The sequence below is a fragment of the Homo sapiens genome, chromosome 3 (genome assembly GCF_000001405.40).
Source record: "Homo sapiens chromosome 3, GRCh38.p14 Primary Assembly".
Classification (NCBI taxonomy): Eukaryota; Metazoa; Chordata; class Mammalia; order Primates; family Hominidae; genus Homo; species Homo sapiens.
In genome coordinates, this window is record NC_000003.12 from 81622553 (window position 1) to 81645879 (window position 23327).

Genomic DNA, 23327 nt, shown 5'->3' on the forward strand with positions numbered 1-23327 from the left:
GCCAGTCCGAACCTCCCCACTAAATTCCAGGCTTACATTTTTAAGTGCCTACTCAATATTTCCACTTACATAGCAAACATGCATCTCGCACTTGTGATATCCAAAACTAACCTCTTGATTTTCCCCCAAGTCCTTCTCCTCCCAGTTCCCCATGGATTTGTGAATGGCTACAGTGTACCTTATGACAGAAGTCCCATTTTCAGAGGCCTTTTTACCTCTTGGTCAAAAACGTCGGAGTTAACTTCTTTCTTCCCCTCATATACAACCAATCACTCAGCAAGTTCTTTTTTTAAATCAGTTATACCTTCAACATGCACTCCATATTTAATTTAATTAATTATTAAAGCCCCTGATGCTACTGCACTGATCTAAGACAGCTTCTCACTGGACTATTGCAATACAAATATCTTAAATCTGCCCACCAGTTCTACATCTGCTCAACATCTCTCTTCCTTCTAGAACAGAAAAAATGATCTTTTCAGTAATGTCATACCATTTCCCTGATCCAAACCTTTTAAAAGCTGTTAAAACAGCTCCCCATCAAACACAGAATAAACTGAATAAAACAGAAGAAAACTGAATCTCCTTACAAGGGCCTACAAGGTTTTATATGATCTGACAACTGCCAAACTCTCTGGAGTCTCCTGAAATTCTCCCTCACTTACCAATCTACATCTCCCTGGCCTTCCTTTAAACACACCAACCCCACTGCCCCTGCAGGGACTTCACAATTGCTTTTCTCCTCACTGTTTGCTTATTCTCAGAATATGATATTGCACGTCACTTCATTCAGGTCTCTGCTTAAATATCACCTTTTCAGAACGCTTATCTTGACCACACACTAATAGACAGCCACTTTACAACATAACACTGAATCTTTCTAGCTGGTTGCCTTTTTCTTCATAGTACTTGTTGCTACCTAGAAATGTACTTTGTATTGTTGGTCTTCCTCACCAAAGTATAGGGCTGTGAGGGTTGGTGTCTTATCTGTTTTCTTCACTGCTTCATTCCCAGGGTTCAGGAAGGTTGGGTATCCAGTAGGTACTCAAACTTTTGTTAAATTAGTTAATTTAGCATATATGGTGTGCCAGACATTATTATTATTATCTGAGACAGCGTTTCACTCTGTCACCAAGGCTGGAGTACAGTGGCATGACCATGGCTCACTGAAACCTCCTGGCCTCACTGCAGCCTCCAGGTTGCCTGGGCTCAGGCAGTCTTCCTGCCTCAGCCTCCTGAGTAGCTGGGACTTCAGGTGAGAGCCATCATGCCTGGCTATTTTTATTTTCATTTTTTAAATAAAGATGGGGGTCTCACTATGTTGCCCAGGCTGCTCTTGAACTCCTGACCTCAAGCATTCTTCCTGTCTTGGCCTCCCAAAGTACGAAAATTACAAGCATGAGCCACTGTGCCTGACCCAGACTTATTTTTAATATAGGATCTGTATTAGTCCATTTTCATACTGCTATAAAGAACTGCCCAAGGCTAGGTAATTTATAAAGGAAAAAGGCTTAACTGACTCACAGTTCCACATAGCTGGGGAGGCCTCAGGAAACTTACAATCATGGCAGAAGGCAAAGAGGAAGCAAGGCACCTTCTTCACAAGGTGGCAGGAAAGAGAAGTCCCGAGCGAAGGAGGACAAGCCCCTTATAAAACCATCAGATCTTGTGAGAACTCACTCACTATCATGAGAAAACATGGGGGAAATGCCCCCATGATTCAATTACCTCCACCTGATCTCTCCTTTGACACGTGGAGATTATGGGGATTATGGAGATTACATTCAAGATGAGATCTGGGTGAGGACACAAAGCCTAACCATACCAGGATTCTCACAAGCATATTACTTAGGCATCAACATTTGTTCATAAAGCCTCCTGCTCCTAACATGTAATATTCATATATTTAATACAGAAACAGTATTTCATATCTATTTTTAAAGTAAACTTCCCACTTGCACAGTCTAGAAATGTGTATTCTTGCCCTATTGTCTATAAATTTTAGGTGTGTTGAGATTATGAATTTCTGAAAACCAAAATATTAAATAATATATGATCAACCGGTATAAACTTTTGGACTTTAGATGTGATACACACACATGCATACACACACACATAACATGTAAATAAATAAGAAAATAACCTAGTAGATATTTATTTGAGCCAGTTCATATCTATAAGGTAACATAACTTAAAAACACACACAATACAAGAAGCATATCTCTACTTTCTATGGGATGTTAATGTACCCTGCAGAAAGAATGGAAAAGAACCAAGTCTCCTTCTGGTTTGTTCCCAGTGTGTCTGAATTAGCTACGTTTATGCTCAAATAGCCTAAAATATTCACATTTCTTAAGGAAACTTTCTAGCAGCAGCCACTTTTTTCTACCTGCTAAAATAATCAGCATAGCAGGGAAAAGAGCCAACCACAGGGAAGACAAAAGAGTAGGGTCCTAAAATAAAACCACGGCTACACTTTTCCTGACATAGACTCAAATCCTTCCCTGCCTCAGAATCCTGCCTGCTTTTATGTTATGAGGGAGGGGGAGGGGGAGGGGGAGGGAGAAGGAGGGATGTGTGGTGTGGGGAAGAAAAACACAGAAACCAAGAATAGAATGCTTCACTCCTGCCTTGATAGAAGATATTTTCAGGTCTTTATCAGTTAAGAGAATACTATCTAAGACTCTAGACACTACTGATAGCTTCTTCTCAGGATATTTGATTCTGACATTCCTATTTTTGCATTGGCTATGATCTTTTAATATTTTACACTTCAGTCACTGGAGGCACCTGGAGTCTGTAAATTAAGACTTTTAGAAAGAACATAGAGACAACTATTCCCTTACATCTTTCCTAAAACTGATAAGTACCAATAAAAAATAAAATCCTGGACTGTTTTTTTTTTAGACTGTGTCTCACTCTGTTGCCCAGGCTGGAGTGCAGCAGCATGATCATAGCTCACTGCAGCCTCGGACTCTTGGGCTCAAGCAATCCTCCCACCTCACCTCCCAAGTATCAAAGACTGCAGGCATGCACCACTATGCCCAGGTAATTTCATTTTAATTTTGTTGTAGAGAAAGGGTTTCGCTATGTTACCTAGGGTGGTCTTAAACTCCAGTGCTTAAGTGATTCTGCCACCTCAGCCTCCCAAAGTGCTGAGATTACAGGACAGTCACCATGCCTAGCCCTTGACTTTTATTTCTGGTTTTTGGCTATCTTCTTTCAAATATCACAAAGCTTAATCACCAAATGTACAGCTGATATCTATTGGAGTACGGGGAGAAAAGGAAAGGTAATGAGAAAGAAAGAGAAGGAGAGGAAGAAAGGCAGCCAGAGAAACTTCTGATGGGCTGATGAGGAAAAGGTGAAATTGTGTTTTATTTTAAAAAGCGTAAATACTGAAGCAGGTTGTGCTATTATCTTCTGCTAGAGGAAATAACCATAAAGAGACTTCATTTCCTTAACTTGTATGTTGTAAATAAATAGTACTACATGTTGATGCTAGTTTAGGGGCGGTAAGATTTCAATAAAGTAAACAACAAAACAATGCCGGCACTGCTCAGTAAGGAGCAGCTCATGCTCGGAAACAGCAGAGCCTGAATGCCAAAGCACATCTATTCTAATTTCATCCACTCACTAGCTCAAGCTATTATCACTATATCTGTATTGGTTAAGGTAGTAGTAAAAATCTTCATTTTCTTTCAAGGACATAAGGTTCAAACAGGATATTCTTTACAAAACAAAAGTAAAACGACCATTAACAATGTTTATAGCACAGAATTTACATATGTACACTTATGCAATGAAATAGCTCCTAAAGGTAAAATCAAAAGAAAAATAGGTAAGTTGTATTTCAGAATATAAAACACAAATACAATTGCAACTTTTAACTACAGATTATAAGTAAGTAAAGGATAAAAAGAGGAAGCCTTGAGCAAGCGTTCCTGAGGAACTGATTTTAGACCAGCGAAGATAAGGAGAAGGGGCTTTTACACTGAGGACCAGAAAATAAACAGGAGATGGATACCAGGGAACTACTCCAGGCAAAGATAAAAGCATGCACAACAGCCCCAGTGCATGAAAAGCACTGGAGTGGCTAGAGCGTAGTAAGCAAGAGAAAAAGGATGTCAAGATGAGACTAGAGCCAGATCCTTCAAAACCCCATAAGCCATGTTCAGACTCATTAAAAAAAAAAAAAAAAAATCTCTTCTATGTGCATTTGAAGTGTTTCAAGGTCTAATACATTTGAAAAATGAAGTATTATTATATAGCACTTACTTGGAGATTCAAAATGTATATTAGCTAATTAGATTCCAAGAATTTTGATTCTAAAGAAATGTGCTGAATTTGATTTAATTTGGGGTTTTCCAAGTGCATTTGATCACTGAACACCTTTCATGTATCACACTTCCTAATTTCCTGCTGAACTTTCCTCCTTGGTGGATTATTTCCCACTTTCCCAAAGAAATTATATGGAACGAAGAGCTATAATAAACCTGGATGCCATTGTTATTTCGTGAATGAAGTGAAACACCATTTTCTATATCTGGGTATAAAAGGATCTAAACTATTCAAAAAGTATTACTTCATAGAGATAATGGGCTTCATTTCTACTCATCTGGACAAACTTTGACAGTCTATTCTCTAGCAGGTTCTGAGGTACTTGCTTAAGGAAGAGGATTATAAGATCTATATTCTAATTTGGGAGAATTAGCATAAATGTATTCATTTATTTATTCATTCAACAAATCTGTGTTTAAATGTGTCAAGCACCATTCCAGTCCTGAGGAATAAAGTGGGAAACAAGATAAACATGGTCTTTGCCCTGCTGAAACTTTTATTATTGGCTTCGTATAAAGGAGAAAAGCAAACTATGATAATAATGCAATCCAATAACTGGTATAATAAAACACATACTCACATGGAAGAGAACAAAGAATGGAGGTGAATAATAACAGCATTTTTAACACAGGGTGGGGAGTAAGAAAGAGAATCTGGATTTGAAAAATCATGTGGAAGTAAAATAAAGAGGGAAGGACCTGTAACAGTTAAATGTATGTGTGTTGTTTATGTGATACATCAATTCGAGCTCAACTGAGAAGTCTAATTTTAGAATAAACCATGGCAGTTATAAGAAACAATACTAATTCTTATAATATGCCAAGAACTGTTATAAGAAAATTATATATTTTACATATATATATATATATATATAAAAAACATATATATTTGTTGTTGTTGTTGTTCTTGTTATTTTCACTTTGTCACCCAGGCTGGAATGCAGTGGGCAGTGGTGCAATCATACCTCACTGTAACTTCAAACTCTTGGCCTCAAGCGATCCTCCCACCTAAGCCTCCAAAGCACTGGACTACAGGCTAGGATTACAGGAGTGAGCCACATTGCTTGGCCACATATTTTTAATATTTTAAATCTTATAATAGCTCCATGAGATAGGCACCCTTTAAATTAGTATTTTAAAGAAGAATATGAGACACAGAGTTTATGAGACTTGCCCACTCCAAATTAGAGACAGGGAGGGGCCATTTGTTCCAGAGGCTTTCATGACAATTCCAACCCCTTTCAGACTCAGGCGGCCCCCTTATATGTGTCTTCAACTATCAATACGTCACCCTGGGTTGCATTAGCATACATATTGTGTATCATCCTCTTTAGACTTTTAATTTCCTGAAATAGGGGCCATGTCTTTCTCTTCTTCAAGGTGACCAGGTGCAGCATAGTCTCTACAACAAAAAGTTACTGAATTCTTGAAAGAATGAATATCATGGCCATGAAGGAGACCTCAGGAAAAGCATACAGATAAGAACATGAAGAAGACCCTAGATGGAATCTTGTGGACTCTAACAGTGAGGGCAAGAGCTCTGGGAAATCTGAAAACTGATTTATTCATGTGATCATTGTGGAAGAATGGCAAATGATAGAAATCAAAAATTCTGATCAGAGTTAGGCAAAATGCCAAAGAGCCAGTGATGAGTTTCTTCATTACTGCTAACATTGTTTTCTCTATGTAAATGATCATGTCATATTTACAAAATTTAATTAATGAAACTTCTTTGAAAATTCATGACAAAACTCAATTGAACAGTCTGTTTCACCATATATTTATATATTCTACCCATCATTTAAGCAAATAGCCTACCCTTTAAAATATAAAGGAGAAAGAACAATTGCATATATATATATATATATATATATATATATATATATATATAGCAACAGAGTATGTTACTAAATTATTTATTTCATCTTAATCCCAGGATAACTAAATTTTATACAACTAAATCATTCATTCTAATTCACTTATGCCTGAGTCATATTTGAGAGGTAAAAACAAGCCAAAATAATTACTTACATGTGTTTACTGGCTGACAAATTGGTGATTTTACTGGTAGTTGTATAAAACAATTCTTGGCAACTGATTAATAATTAGTGACTATTATGTTTAAGTTTTTTTTTTTTTTTTTTTTTTATTATACTCTAAGTTTTAGGGTACATGTGCACATTGTGCAGGTTAGTTACATATGTATACATGTGCCATGCTGGTGCGCTGCACCCACTAACGTGTCATCTAGCATTAGGTGTATCTCCCAATGCTATCCCTCCCCCCTCCCCCGACCCCACCACAGTCCCCAGAGTGTGATATTCCCCTTCCTGTGTCCATGTGATCTCATTGTTCAATTCCCACCTATGAGTGAGAATATGCGGTGTTTGGTTTTTTGTTCTTGCGATAGTTTCCTGAGAATGATGGTTTCCAATTTCATCCATGTCCCTACAAAGGACATGAACTCATCATTTTTTATGGCTGCATAGTATTCCATGGTGTATATGTGCCACATTTTCTTAATCCAGTCTATTACATGTTTAATTTCTTAAGAGACATTTAGTACTTTTCATAAAACATACACTTTTTTAGTTTATTGCTACTAAAAGGGTTTATTGAAAAATAAAATATTATAACCACCTAACTCAATAAATGGATGTAGATTTACCCAATGTAATGATTACAAAGCTGTTAACAGCAAGAGCCTTCAGACTACTTGCTATACCTGTGTCATTCAATGCAGTTCACATGGGGCTACTGAGCCCTGGAAACCTGGCTAGGGAGGCCACAAAACTGGATGTTTAATTGTATTTTTTATATATTTTTTATTATTATTATTATACTTTAAGTTTTAGGGTACATGTGCACAACATGCAGGTTTGTTACATATGTATACATGGGCCATGTTGGTGTGCTGCACCCATTAACTTGTCATTTAGCATTAGGTATAATTCCTAATGCTATCCCTCCCGCCTCCCCCCACCCCACAACAGTCCCCGGTGTGTGATCTTCCCCTTCCTGTGTCCATGTGTTCTCATTGTTCAATTCCCACGTATGAGTGAGAACATGCAGTGTTTGGTTTTTTGTCCTTGCGACAGTTTACTGAGAATGATGGTTTCCAGCTTCATCCATGTCCCTACCAAGGACATGAACTCATCATTTTTTATGGCTGCATGGTATTCCATGATGTATATGTGCCACATTTTCTTAATCCAGTCTATCATTGTTGGACATCTGGGTTGGTTCCAAGTCTTTGCTATTGTGAATAGTGCCACATGCTTCAAAGAGAATAAAATACCTAGGAATCCAACTTACAAAAGGATGTGAAGGACCTCTTCGAGGAGAACTACAAACCACTACTCAATGAAATAAAAGAGGATACAAACAAATGGAAGAACATTCCATGCTCATGGGTAGGAAGAATCAATATCGTGAAAATGGCCATCCCCATCAAGCTACCAATGACTTCCCCATCAAGCTACCAATGTCTTTCTTCACAGAACTGGAAAAAACTATTTTAAAGTTCATATGGAAACGAAAAAGAGCCCGCATTGCCAAGTCAATCCTAAGCCAAAAGAACAAAGCTGGAGGCATCACGCTACCTGACTTCAAACTATTTTATATTGATGTAGATTTAAAAACTGGCACCCAGTTCCATTACTACAAAATTTAAGTATGTTTGAAACAACTCAGGTAGGTGAATCAACTTTTTGCTGTAAAATTATGAATATTAAATACACATCAACTATTTCTGATGAAAAATTAACATCCAAATTGAGATGTGCCCTAAGTGTAAAATACACACCAAATTTCCAAAACGTAATACCTCTAAAATACGTCAAATACCTTGTTTCTCAACTGATTTTTACATTGGTTTACCATTGATTACATGTTGAAATAATACTTTAAACATGTAATCAGTAGAGTTAAACTAGCCAATGTTATAGAAAATAGCTTAAAATCCTGTTTTCCTCTCAGAAAAGAGCATCATAAAATAGGATCCTAAGAAATATATAAGATGTTCCCTAGGCTGTGCATGGTGGCTCATGCCTATAATCCTAGCACTTTCAGAGGCTGAAGTGGGAGGATCACTTGAGCTCTGGAGGTGGAGACCAGCCTGGGCAACATAGGAAGGCCCCATCTCTACAAAAAATAAAAATAATTAGCCAGGCATGGTGGCATTTGCCATTGGTCCTAGCTACTCAGTAGGCTTAGGTGGGAGGATTGCTTGGGTATGGGAGGTCAAGGCTGTCACGAGCCATGACTGTGCCACTGCACTCCAGCCTGGGCAACAGAGGGAGACTCTCTCTTTAAAAAGAAAAAAAGAAAGATATTCCCTGATATAAAATGCAAAATAAGCAAGGTAGTCAATTCAATAACTGATTAGTAATAGCCTTTGGCACCTGGACACTTAAAACATAAGTGGAGGAATGCTTCATTTATTCGACATTGGAGGGAAACAAAGTAGTCCACATAAAATCTACACAGTAATCCCTCATTAAAACACAGTAGACCGGTAACTTTAACTTAATCTCTAAAACAACATTTAAAAATTTAACAATGACCAGGCGTGGTGGCTCACACCTGTAATCCCAGCACTTTGGAAGGCCAAGGTGGGCAGATCACAAGGTCAGGAGATCGAAAACATCCTGGCCAACATGGTGAAACCCCGTCTCTACTAAAATACAAAAAAAAAAACAAAAAATTAGCCAGGTGTGGTGGTGTGCACCTGTAGTCCCAGGTACTCAGAAGGCTGAGGCAGGAGAATCACTTGAACCTGGGAGGCAGAAATTGTCGTAAGCCGAGATTGCACCACTGCACTACAGCCTGGCAACAGAGCAAGACTCTGTCTCAAAAAAAAAAAAAACATAAAAAATAAAAAATTTTTAATGGAAACACTTTGAAATTATATTTTACTTTTTTTATTATACTTTAAGTTCTGGGATACATGTGCAGAATGTGCAGGTTTGTTACACAGATATACATGTGCCGTGGTCATCTACATTAGGTATTTCTCCAACCTGTCATCTACATTAGGTATTTCTCCAAATGCTATCCCTCCCCTTGTCTCCCACCCCCCAATAGGCCCTGGTGTGTGATGTTCCCCTCTCTATCCTCATATGTTCTCATTGTTTGACTCCGATTTATCAGTGAGAACATGCAGTGTTTGGTTTTCTGTTCCTGTGTTAGTTTGCTGAGAATGACGGTTTCCAGCTTCATCCATGCCCCTGCAAAGGACATGAACTCATTCTTTTTTTATGGCTGCATAGTATTCCATGGTGTACATGTGCCACATTTTCTTTATCCAGTCTAATATTGATGGGCATTTGGGTTGGTTCCAAGTCTTTGCTATTGTGAATAGTGCTGCAATAAACATATGTGGGCATGTGTCTTTATAGTAGAATGATCTATCTATCTGACAAAGAGCTAATATCCAGAGTCTACAAAGAACTTAAACAAATTTACGAGAAAAAAACAAACAACCCCATCAAAAAGTGGGCAAAGGATATGAACAGACACTTTTCAAAAGAAGACATTTATGTGGCCAACAAAGATGAAAAAAAAGCTCATCATCACTGGTCATTAGAGAAATGCAAATCAAAACCACAATGAGATACCATCTCATGCCAGTCAGAAAGGTAATCATTAAAAAGCCAGGAAACAACAGATGCTGGGAGGATGTGGAGAAATAGGAACGCTTTTACACTGTTGGTGGGGGTGTAAATTAGTTCAACCATTGTGGACAGTGTGGAGATTCCTCAAGGATCTAGAACTAGAAATATCATTTGACCCAGCAATCCCATTACTAGGTATATACCCAAAGGATTATATATTTTACTTTTTCCTGGCATCTTAAAAAGAAATTTTGAACATGACTTGAAGTTTATTTTTTAATGACTCAGACTCATTATCATCAATTATTATACTATACTGCAGTCTAACAATGCCCAGAGGGACAATTACACTGTGCGGAGCTGTTTGCTGCTGCACGTAAATGGCCTTACAATGCTGGGCATTCAGTTTTGGTTTCTGACCTTGAGGCACTTTCTCTTTCTTCCATTGTTTTTTGCTGTGACTTCTCAATACTGTTAGATATTGATCACAGTTGGTCAGTTCCACAATTGTTCTGAATTTTGTCCTTCTACCAAAAAATAGCTTGACATCCTTTTAAAAATAGTGTGATACAACAACGAACAAATATCCATAAACATTATGGCACATGGTTTGGCTCATGAAAAAAATATTATTACCTGTTTCAATGCTTGTAGTTATGTTTCAGAGAACGAGGGTGGCTAGTAAGTCTGACCACAGATAATCATGACAATGATATTGTGATGACAGTGACAATGACAATTATCACAACTATAATTGAGACACTGGGGGAAGTGTGTAATGAGCCCTTCACAATTATACAAGGTAGATAAACTATAATCTTATTAGTATTTTACAGAGGGGGAAATTAAAGTTAAACTTAGAAAGATTAACCTGGCTGTGGTTACATGCTAGTAAGTGATGAACTAGTATTTGAGCCCAGGCCTATACCTATTCTCTATACTGCCTGCAAGGTCAGTATCTATATTTATATTTTAAAAACAAATTAACAGCAACTTAGATGCAAAGCATTAAAAGAAACAAGGTTACCAAATTTTAACTATACAGATTTCTTTAATAAAGTTGTATTCTGCTTTACTGAACCTGATATTAAAAGACATTTATTTTGTTTATTCCTCTACTACTTAAAATCAAGGAGATATTACACAATTCTGCTAGGTGATAATATACTAATAGTTGAGGTTTATAAAATTACCATTGCTAATACAAAATAGAGTATTAAATACTATATTTAATCTATGAAGGTATAGTTGTCCTTATTAGATTTGACTTATGCCTTAATTTATTTGGTAGTTTGGTAGAATCTGATTTGTTGCGTGTCTCCTAAGGCACATTTTGGAACCCAGAGATAGCCTTAGTGACTGGTTTTTATCCATCCTGCATGTATGTTGCTTTGGTATGCACAGTGAATGAACATTTTAAACTAATTGTATGACATTTTAACATAGGGAGGTTTCATATAAAATGTGGGCTCCTGACTTAAATAACTAGAAGATGTGGCTCCATGGGTCCACATTCTCAACACGAAAGCAACTGACAATTGTATTCGAAATGGTTTGTGAATGGCAGCCACCTCAGAGGAGATCCGTTTGCCAGGTTGCCAGTAAGAACCACCTGGCCTGCTTCTCTCAGTTACCTGCCTCGTTCGCGAGTCCTGCTTTTATCCTTTAGTAAAAATCTGAAAGTATAACTCCAAACTTTCCATGATATTCTATATTCTAGTTGTTGCACATTTTCAATCGTATTATTTTATGCAGTCTGAACCACCGCCCTATGGCACATAAATAATATCATTATGAGTTCTTTATACATGAAACTGAAACTCAAATGTAAGCAGCTTGGTTCAAGAGCAGAGAGGTAAAGATCATCCAATTCTAAAACCACCCACTTTATATTGTGTATTAAATCAATTAATCTTAATTCTATATAGTATACATGATTATTGCTATTATTAGTGTTGTAATTAGCATTTTGGGGGGAAACATCTTGTGTGGCTTTCTTCACTGTTTTCAGTACTAACGAACAGGAATCTATCACATCACTTTGCAGTGTTGCCGCCATGGCAAGCATGATGGTGAAAAGTTTATGACAGAGACTTGAGAGAGAGAGAAAAAGAGAGAGAAGGAGAGATCAAGAGACAGGGGGAAAAAAGAGAGGTATTTTACTTTACATAAAATATATCCCATGAGAAACAACAAATTATTAACTTTCCTTTCACATTTAATATGGAAACAACAAATATACCACTAAAATTTAAAAATAAACAACTATTCCAAATGTCACATGGTGGGAAAGACAATGGAGAAAAGTTAGTGAAGGAACATGTGGCAGGGAAGCATGGTAGGGACTAGATGAATTATTTTATATCAAGTGGCCTGAGAAGCTTCTAAAGCACCTAATGCTTCAAAACTGCATGAATGAAGGTATGACAGTAACCATCATGAATATCATAATCTCACAAAGGCAAGGGGAACCCACCTGGACAGCTCATCGGCCTCCTTCACTGTTCTTAACACAGTGTTAAGAACAGAGCTCCAGTCTCAGACAACTTGGCTATCATGCTGTTTTGTTTCCTAACGTGCTATGAGAAAATGTAACTGTAACTGCCCCCAAGTTTTAATGATGCTTTCAACAGACAGAATTTGAAAGGCTATACAGGTAAAAGTCTAATCTTGGGGAGACAGTTAAACCTAGAAGTAGACAAGGAACCAAATCCTGTGGCTATCGGCTTCTCTTACATATGGTGAAAGAAACAGAAGGAAGACCGAAGATCCAAGTTACAACTCAATAGTGATGCCTCAACATTATAAAATGTGGATGGGAAATGCAGAAGTTAGATAAAAATCTGCCTGCTCACTAATCTAAGTTAATGGGAATAAGGTCCTCAAAAATGAATAATTTTATATTACTTATATATGGATGCTTTCGAAATTATAAGAAAAACCTATATTTTCTGAAAGTAAGTGACTCAATGTAACATGAGTTATTTATCTGCAGCATAACACTAAGGAAATCATTCAGCTAGAAAACCATGAAATATCTCTTCATAACTTCAAAACTGCTAGTCTATTCTGTAGAAAATAGACATGTTTAAACAAGCTGTTTTGCTACACCCAGATAAAAACAGAAAAATTGATTTTTTCCCACTTTTAACCTGCTTATTTAAAAAGGTCATAAACAAAACCATTATTATTATAGATACCACATAATTCCCAGACTTAAATGGATAATCACTTGAATAGGGACCTTAGGACCATTTTCACAAGCATGCACCAACCATTGTTTTAAGCGAAAGAAAGAAAATAGAGAGATGTTTTAGGGCAATGAGCAGCATTTTTAAACTTAAGGTAAATTACCCAGCAGAACTGTCCTACTTCAGCATGAGTTTGGATTTGAGAAGGTGAATGTTATAGGTGAGTAAGACGTAAATACTCAAGATACTTTCAAAATATCCCTGTGCTCCTAAATTTTAGGCTTGTGGGGAATAAACGAGGCAGATAATACCAGGAACAAAGTTTATACAAAGACGGTAAATCCTTACTCCTGTGCTACACTCTGCATCAACAGAAACTTTTCTGCTAGACTGAGTAATCTCATAAACCCTGTGAGAGAAGTTATATTTCTACCATTCAAACTCAAATCCAGACAGATTGGATTGATATAGCAACTTTCTTAATCTCTTTTACAGAAGAGAATTAGTCTGTCTGAATTTTGAAGCTAACTCTACTTTATTTGAAAGAGTAGTAGATTTAACTGTTCTCCTTAATCAAGCTGAAATAAGATTCTGGTTTTAACAAGGAAGAAATGCTGAAAGGGAAAGAAAAAATATTAAGAAAACAGGAAGACTTTTAATGGGACACTCAGTACTCTCAAAAGTTATTAACATACTGTGAGATTATAATATTCTTAGTGAAGAACAGGCTATAAGTTACTGCTTATTTCTTACTGTCTGACTTCCTTTGGAATAGTTAGCTGTTTGCTAAACTATGTCCAAAATGTCTTTTAATCATCCATCATTTGTTTTTTGGCTTTTTTTTTTTTTGAAATGGAATTTTGCTCTTGTTGTCCAGGCTGGAGTGCAATGGCGCAATCTCGGCTCACTGCAACCTCCGCCTCCCAGGTTCAAGCAATTCTCCTGCCTCAGCCTCCCAAGTAGGTGGGATTACAGGCATGCACCACCACACCCAGCTAATTTTGTATTTTTAGTAGAGACAGGGTTTCTCTATATTGGTCAGGCTGGTTTTGAACTCCCAATCTCAGGTGATCAGCCCCCCTTGGCCTCCCAAAATGCCGGGATTACAGGTGTGAGCCGCCATGTCCAGCCATCATTTGTTTTTGTAAAGCATATAAGGCAGGTGTTTATATGTCTAAAATGATGCTATATTACTTCAATTATAAAAAAATTCAGTGCTTTGAAATCTATCCAGTGAAATTAAAAACAAATACATTAGCTCTCCCTTATTTTTAGGAGATACAGTCCAAGACTGCCAGTGGATGCCTGAAACCATGGATAATACCAAACCCTATATATACTGTGTCTTTATACATACATACCTATGATAAAGTTTCATGTATAAATTAGGCAAAATAAGAGATTAACAATAACTAATAAAATAGAACAATTATAATAATATACTGTAATAAAATTTATGTGAATGTAATCTTTCTTTCTCTCAAAATGTAATACTGTACTCACTCTTCTTCTTGTGATGCTATGAAGATAAGGTACCTATATGATGAAGTGAGGTGAATGACCTCATTGTGACATAGCATTAGGCTACTATTGAAAACTAATAAAAAACTTATGAAATGCTTATTTCTGGAATTTTCCATTTAATATTTTCAAGCTAAAGTACTATGAGTAACTGAAATCACAGAAAGCAAAACCACAGATAAATGGGGGCGCCTACTGTTCTCTGAAAGGAGTGATTTTTTTAAGTCTATCTCTCCAAAATTTCTGACAAACATATGCTCCAAGCATATATATTGAAAAATGCAGCATAGTATATGTGTATCTCTAACTTTACCAAATAATACCAAATTGTTTTCAAATGTGGTTGTACATATTTATCCTTTGTATGCTATTTTTTCTGTATTTTTTTTGTTTTTGTCATTGGGTGAATTGTTCTCTTTGTAATTCAATGACAAAATCAAAAAGTAGTGTATGACTTAAAAATCCTCTTAAAAATAATTTTAGAATTTTCCATTCATGTCATGGTTGCTTAGTTTTTAAATAATCTTGCTAATCATGATGGTGTCATATACTCGTTAGCTAGTATACTGATGCATAATAACCCTCAAGTTAATATTTATCATTGAGAACTGATTTGGTCATGATGTAATATCATATATAATTAAGCTAAAATTTTGTTTAGAATACTTACATCTATGGTCATGAGGGCTTACCTCAGGAATGCAAGACTGGCTTACCATTAAAAATCAATTCTAATTAACCATAGAAAAGCCATATGGTAAGATATCATAGAATAATTACCTCAGATACAAAAATCCACTCTGAGCAGGGAGAACCCCTTGAATTTCCTTCCACATACTAACTTGTAGAAAATGCCCACCATGGTTAAGAAGTCCCAAATATTATATATAGTGTCTATCCTAAGAGTACTTTATTCTACATACTTATGACCCTAAAAAGACCAATTGGACTCACTTTTGTTTCTGAAAACAACTCTAGTTGCTCAAGAAAAGAGAGTATCTTTTAGCCTAATGGTTACCATATTATGAACTCAAGCTGATGAAATATAACTATATTAATTTTGTGTCCAAACATAAGTTTAAGGAGGAAAAACATGAGCATTAGATCTACTTTGCTATCTCCTTTAGAAGTCAGTATTTTATCTTTGAAAGAAATATTTAACGAACAAAAGATATTCATTTGAAGATTTAGTAATGGTTATGGCATAGCAGTTATTTAAATCCAACAAGTTTTCATTGTCTTAAAAGTGCATTTATGTAGTGCCAGAGGAATATGCAAACAGAATTTAAAACTGGGACCACTACATTATATTCATTATTACTAATTCTAGAAACTCCTGAAACTTATGGGTGACACACTTGTCAGAAAGTTCTCTTTACCAAATAAAGGACAACCCAATCTCTGTGATGAACTGTCATTACTAATTTAGCAAAGCTAGAAGGCAGTTCAGCTGAGTAGACAGAAAATTAAACATGGGCAGCTCCTGATTGGAAATTTATTCATAGCAGGTAATGAAATAGCACAGTCAGGATCTCTGGTATTACTCAGAGTAAGAGATTTAATTCTGGTAACTTTGATGATGGCACTTGAATCACAGATTCTAAATGGTGACAGGTTGTGACATATAGATAGGATAAAATGAGCATCAGCAACATATCTCTACAGAAGCAATTCTATAACATCAATTTTTTCAAACAGTAAATATAATAATTTCAAAAATTATGACAAAAGTTTTCAAAGAAGAGGCTTAGGTCTTAAGCAAGCCATGTGCCATATTTATGTCTGTTTGTCAATGGGTTATAAAATTAATCAGCCTAACAAATGTAAGGGGTGGAAAAATTTGTATTTAAAATATGAAACATAAATTGTAATTTCTGATTTCATCTGAATAAGGAACAAACTCAAAATTACAGGCAGAGTAGCTATTTTATGAAGAGGGTGAAAGTGAAGGATTGGGTTATGTATTTCTATGCATGTAAGGAATATTCATTAAATGCATTCACATATAGCTAAATACAAGTATGTTGTTCACATTTTTCAAATATAGTTTTTTTATTTTGAATTTTGTGTGCCTTTTTAAATTTTCTAATTACAATGGCATTATTTTATAATGAAAGGTGTATTTTTTTTTAAAAAAAATGGCTATTTCAGACATAACTCTCTGATAATTCTCATAACAGAAATATGGCTGAGTAAATAATATTTCCACATGAACAGGTATTTCAATACATCTATTTTGAATTTGTAAAGTAGCATATTCGTTGTGTGTGGTTAAAATTACTTAACGCCCCTTCGAAGGGAGGGGCGTTAAGGAATTTTAAGGATATGTGCAAAAATTCTCTTATCTTTACCTAACAAGTTTTATTAGATAAACTAACAAGTTTTCAAGTTTTCTTGAAACTGTGATTGACCAGTAGTTTTCAACAGAAATGGCACTCTGCCATGTTCTAAACCCAGACCATATAAAATGGCAGCTTGCATATCCTGTCTTTTGGGACTATCGCTCTTGTGAGAAAGCCCAAGTTGTCTGTGGAGTGGGCTAGGAGGAGGGGATTTGGGGTCCTCAATCTCACAACCAAGGCTGAGCTCCTAGCTGACAGCCAGCACCAACCGTAGGTCACATGAGTGAACCATCCTGAAAGCAGATGCTCTGTCCCCTATATGAGCCACCCCAGGGGACACAAGGTGAAGAAAAGAAGAGCAGTCCACACTGAGGTATACCCAAATTGTGAGTTTGGGAACAAAATAAATATTGCTGTTAAGTCACTAAATTTTTGGCTTACTAAGCAGCAATAAATAACCAAAAGAGCAAAGTAGGACTTTGATCATGATTGCTAAGAAGTATTTGTTTAAATGAATTTATATACACTGGCTTTGGAGGATTTTATCTATATTGTTTAATAATGTCATGACTAATTGTGATGGTTTATACTGACTGTCAACTTGATTGGATTGAAGGATGCAAAGTATTGTTCCTGGATATGTCTGTAAGGGTGTTGCCAAAGGAGATTAACATTTGAGTCAGTGGACTGGAAAAGGCAGACCTACCCTCAGTCTCGGTGGGCACCATCTCATCAGCTGCCAGCACAGCCAGAATAAAAGCAGGCAGAGGAATGTGGAAAAACTAGACTAGCTTAGTCTTCCAGCCTCCATCTTTCTCCTGTACTGGACGCTTCCTGTCCTCGAATATCAAATTCCAAGTTCTTCAGCTTTTGGACTCTTGGGCCTTTCACCACAGACTGAAGGCTGCACTATCGGCTTCCCTACTTTTGAGGTTTGGGGACTCAGACTAGCTCCCTGGCTCTTCAACTTGCAGATGACCTATTGTGGGAATTCACCTTGTGATCCTATGAGTCAGTTCTCGTAATAAACTCCCCTTGATAAATACATATAGCTTCATATATAAATATATATATATATCCTATTAGTTCTCTCCTGCTAGAGAACCCTAATACATTAATAGTATAAACCTATATAGAAAATACTAATTCTATAAAATGGGAAAATTTAGATATTGGTCAAACAGAATGACATGTAGAATAATACAAATGCAATTTAATAAAACTATATTTACAGAGGACTAAGTCTATATGACAGCAGAAAAAAAACAAATAAAATGGTCACAATAAAAAATAAATTAAGCTAAAACTATAGGATGCTTTATTTACCAAAAGCATGCACATGAGAAAGATTAATAGTTAATTCAATAAAAAAGAAGCCGAGTATTAAATAACAATGTTAAGTTTGTCTCAATTTCTGTGATAGAAATGTTTTTGAAAACAATGATGTATGATCCCTTTTGTTTAGAAAATTGGCTAAGTTTAAATGCACTTTGGTACAACAAGGTACACTACAATAAACATGTGAATAAAATAAAAATGTTGTATAACATAAAAATCCATCCACTTAATGTATTTCTTTTTAAGGTATAATTCTACAGAAGAATTGTTTTAAAACATAAAAATCTAACTATTTAATAAATATATTTCTTTCATAAGGCACAGTTCTACAAAATAGAGTCAACCCTCCTTCATCCAATTATAAACCAGAGAGTTCAATTAATTGAATTTCTTGGGCATATTCTACTTCTATAAGATGTACTCAATGTAATTAGTAGAGTTATGTAATTGCAGTTTTTTGCCAATAAAAGTAAGGGCAAAAACCACAATTACTTTTGCACCAACCTAATATATCACAGAATTAACACAGATTTAGTCTTTTTTATTTGCCATAAATCTGTGGCATAATAATAAATGTTCAAAAGGTGACATGAATACAAAATACCTTCATGAGCAAAACTATATTAGTCCCCAAACTCTGCCTCCTTCTATAATAAAAAGCCTGAGAATAAGAATGATTAATCAGTTTGTACCAGAGTGAGTCTAGGCCAGGAACCCAGCTACCATCTTGTTTCTTTTCTCACCTATTACACTGTCTTATCTGGCATGAGTGATTCCTGAATGGCTATGAAATATAAAATAATGTATGATATCCAGAAATAATGTATGAATTTCCTTCATATATAAGTCATCTAATTTAGGTTGAAAAATGAGACCTCTTCATTTTATAAAATTATTTGCTGAGACATTTTTCTATACAGCCTATTTTCTAGGTATATTTATGTTTATGTATGATGCAACACTGGAAAGAAAATTCATTAATTTTTTTCAAAAATACATACACATATATAAAATATATATAATATGTATATAATACATATACATATTTCAAATATGTATATGTATTATAAAAATATGTATTATACATTACTTGATACTTTGCTTTTAATATGCTTGACATTTTCATTTTTTCACTTACAATAAATAATAAACACAAGTTCATGGTTTTTTAACTTGTCTTTTTAATTTTTGCCATATGCTATTTAATCACGTAAAACACTCTTCTCCTTAAATGGTAGAAGAGGTCAGAGATCTGTCTGATCTTAACAAATGGTTTCAACACTAAGCCTTAGTTTATTTATCTGTAAGATGGCTATAACAATAGTGTTTACCACATGTAAGTAGAGTTGCTGTGCAGATTAAATAAGATAAAATAGGTAGCTAATATATCTAAAACACTTGGCACCATACATGAAACATATTATATACTAGTAACTGTTGTTTTATAGTTATAAATTAATTTAGCTGTAATCAAAACCATGTAATTTTAAGATATGAAGCAATGAAGTATGATTTTTTTAAATGGCCTACTTAAAACAATGTATTTCTCTAGTAAAAGGAGACTGGCTATGGTTTAAGTCAAATTGATAAAGTGGCCTTTTAGATATTAAAAAAAAATGATTCACAGTAAAATTTTTAAATGATTATATAACCAATATATTTTACATGGCGTAAGATATGTAAAATTGAAATTTAATGAAATATACCACAAATACATGTGCTATACAAAACAAGGTAAAATCCCCTGTACAACAAAAATAAATCCAATTAAGAACATTAAGTACCAGTGAGAGAGTACACACACAATGAATTTAGTGAAATTCTTAAAAATTAATGTTAAACAGCAACAATAGAAAACATTTCTATATTGTATGTACCTACCTGGAGTAGGCAAACAATCTGCTATCCCAAAGATCATGAGTCCCTCTAGGTCCAGAATGAAAATAACAGGAATCTGTCCCATCAAACATATTCAATCCATCTGCTGAATTTTTTGAAGCATGGCTGTGTACCACATCTAAGAGGACTATGATACCCATGGAATGAGCTGTGTCTACCAGTTCTTGTAGCTCTTCAGGTGTTCCATAACGGCTAACAATGAAGAACACAGCAAAAAGAAGATTACATCACATTTAGAGGAAACAGCCGATTGTGCAGCAATTGTTTCACCATCGCAGTACTAGATACTTTAAATATCCAAACAGCATGTGACATGATACCTGGATACAACTCAAATTTGCTTAATATCAAATATTAAGCAAATTTAAAACCATCAAGTTAGAAAATAATTTAAATCGGGTTATTAAATGTAGATTTATACCCCAACCAAAATTCACATTTTGAGGATGTAAATAATAAAACTCTGCTTCTCTATTTTCAGAGCTTCTGATTTCCACCTGAAGCAAGTCATTCCTGCTCTGTTTGCCCACTGCCCATTACTTACAGGGTGTACATTTGAGATTGAGGGGCTCTTCAAGAATTTATTTGAATATCCATGGTACCTTGATTGAGGTTATCCCTCCTGCACTTATTCCAAAAACAGAATGCCCACAGTTACCAGTGGGCCAAGACAATGTGCCACGTTTGTCACCACCCAAGTAAATAAGATGGGTAGCTCACAAGCAGGTGTGTTTGTGTCAAAGGTACCCCCTAGTCTGAATGAAATAGGTAACAAAAATTACTCACAGAAGAATGCCTTTCTTAACCTGTGTAAAATTTTGACATTATAGTCATCCACAGCATCAACTTTGCCCTTTAAATAGTCACCTTTGCCTTCAATTGTTTACTGTCTCTCTTCCTCACTCGACTATATGCTCCTTGAGGGCAGCGGCTGTTACTATCAGGCTCCTCATGATATGGTACAGTGCTAAGTATACAGCAAGTCTCCCAATAGCCAACTCCACTGAGCAGCAAGAGCTGTCTTTTTAAACTGGAAATAAGATCATGTTACCTACTTAAAATCATACTTGTGCTCCCATTCATCCCAGGGTGAAGACCATTGTCCTGATCGTGGCCTACTGCACCATCTACTGGCTCTTTCCAATAATGCTAATTATCTTATGACACTCTCCCACACCCTCTTTTTATTCCAGCCACCTATCCATTTTTATACTCATTGAACATGTTCAATAATAAACAGCCTTAAAGTTTTTTTTTTCATTCAGCCATTCACTCATTCCTTCATTCATTCCTTTATTTGTTTGCCACTTACTAAAGTCATCTACCACGTACCATGACATTTTCTATGTTCTGGAGATACACCAGCGAAAAAAATAAACACCACTGATCATATGGAATTTACATTCCCATTGGGAGACAACAAACAAGCAAAATACATAGAATGTCGATAATAATAAGTGTCCTAAAGAAAACAAAGAAAAGCCACTGGTGGGGAGGGAAGGTTTGCTATTTTAAATAGGGTCATCAGTTAAAGTTTCATGGAAAAGGCAACATTTGAGCAAGAAAAAAAGTAAGAAGCAAGGCATAATAATATCTAAGGGTAAGAGCATTCAGACAGAAAGGAACAGCAGGTGCAGGGGACTGGGGCAGGGTTGAGCTAAGAGCATTTGAAGAAAACCAAACAGGCTACTCTAACTGGAATGGTCAAGAAAGAAAAGAGGTGAGCTCTAAGAGTCAGGCAAGAAGCACATCAAGTGAGGCCTTGGGAACCAGTGTGAGGCCTTTTGCTTTTATTCTGAAGGAGACAGGGATTCATTACGGTTCTGGGCAAAAGAGCGACATGATCTGACTTTAATTTTTAAATGATTACTCTGGCCACTGTGCAGAAAAATTGACCATTAATTGGTAGAACAAAGGTAAGAGAAGGGGAAAGACAGCATGAGAAAACAGAGTGACCAGTTAAAGAGCTATTGAAATAACCCAGGTAAAAGATAATTGCAAGTTGGACATGGGTGGTGGCAGTGGGGGCAGTTGAAGCAGCCAGATTTGGGATATATTTTGAAGTTACAGATGGCTAGATTTTTTAATAGCTAGCGTGTAGGGAGGAACAGAAAGGGACAAGTCCAGTATAATGCCAAGATTTTTGGCTTGAACAACTAGAAGATGAAAATGTCATTTACTGAATTAGAGAAGATGGCAGGGGGAGGAAGTTTGAAGTTAAGATCAGAAATTTAATTTTGGACACATGAAGTTTGATATATGTATTAGATACTCCAACATCAAATATATACTTTCTGAAGTTCATAAGATAGGTCAGAGAGACTTAAGTTTGGGAGTTAACATATAGCATATATTTAAGCTACAAAACTGGATGAGACTTGATGAGATCCTCCCGAATATTTCATACAGATGAAGAAGAGAATGGAACTAAGTTCTGATTATTGGGACGTCCAATATTTAGTGGTAGTAAAGATGATGAGGAAAGAGCAAAGGAAATTAATAATAAGCAACAAGTGAGGTGGGAAAAGCAACAAGAGGAGGTTAAAATATTCTGGAAGCCAGGGAAAGAAAAAGGTTTCAAGAAGGTGACAGTAACCAGCTGTACCAAGGGGTGCTGACAGCTTAAGTAAGCTAAGAATTGTTCATTGTCCTCAACAATGTGAAGGTCACTAATACCCTTGACAAAAGCAACTTCAGTAAAGAGGCAGACCGCATACTTGGAGTGGGCTCAGGAAAGAACCAGAGTGGAGGATTTGGAGACAGTATTATAGATAACTTATTGAGGGAGAACTAATATAAAGAGAAACAGGTAAATGAACCAGTATCTTTTTTCTGTCTGGAATGTCACCTATTTACGCCCACTTCACCGCTTTCCCCAGTTAACTCTTAGTCGTGTTTTAGATCTCACTTGCAGTATTTGTTCTGATCTATTCTAAACTGATCAGACTTCTGATTATAGTTCCCTGTCATTTTCATTTTAGCTTTTATTACAGTTAAAAATAATAATCTGTATGAATGATGATGGGAGCAATGTCTATATGCCATACATCATAAACTCCATGACACTGAGTGTTGGACTTC

At 35.9% G+C, this 23327-nt stretch overlaps 1 protein-coding gene across 2 annotated transcripts in view; it reads right to left on the reverse strand.

Annotated features, from left to right (window-relative positions):
- The window catches only part of GBE1 (1,4-alpha-glucan branching enzyme 1), a 271943-nt gene that overhangs the window by 132850 nt on the left and 115766 nt on the right, over positions 1 to 23327 (reverse strand). For both annotated transcript variants that reach the window (XR_007095662.1, NM_000158.4), the window contains exon 7: positions 20229 to 20438. Coding sequence is in view for 1 of the 2 variants with exons in the window: in NM_000158.4 (NP_000149.4) it covers positions 20229 to 20438 (210 nt within the window). In the remaining variant the exon portion in view is untranslated. The remainder of the gene's footprint in view (positions 1 to 20228; positions 20439 to 23327) is intronic.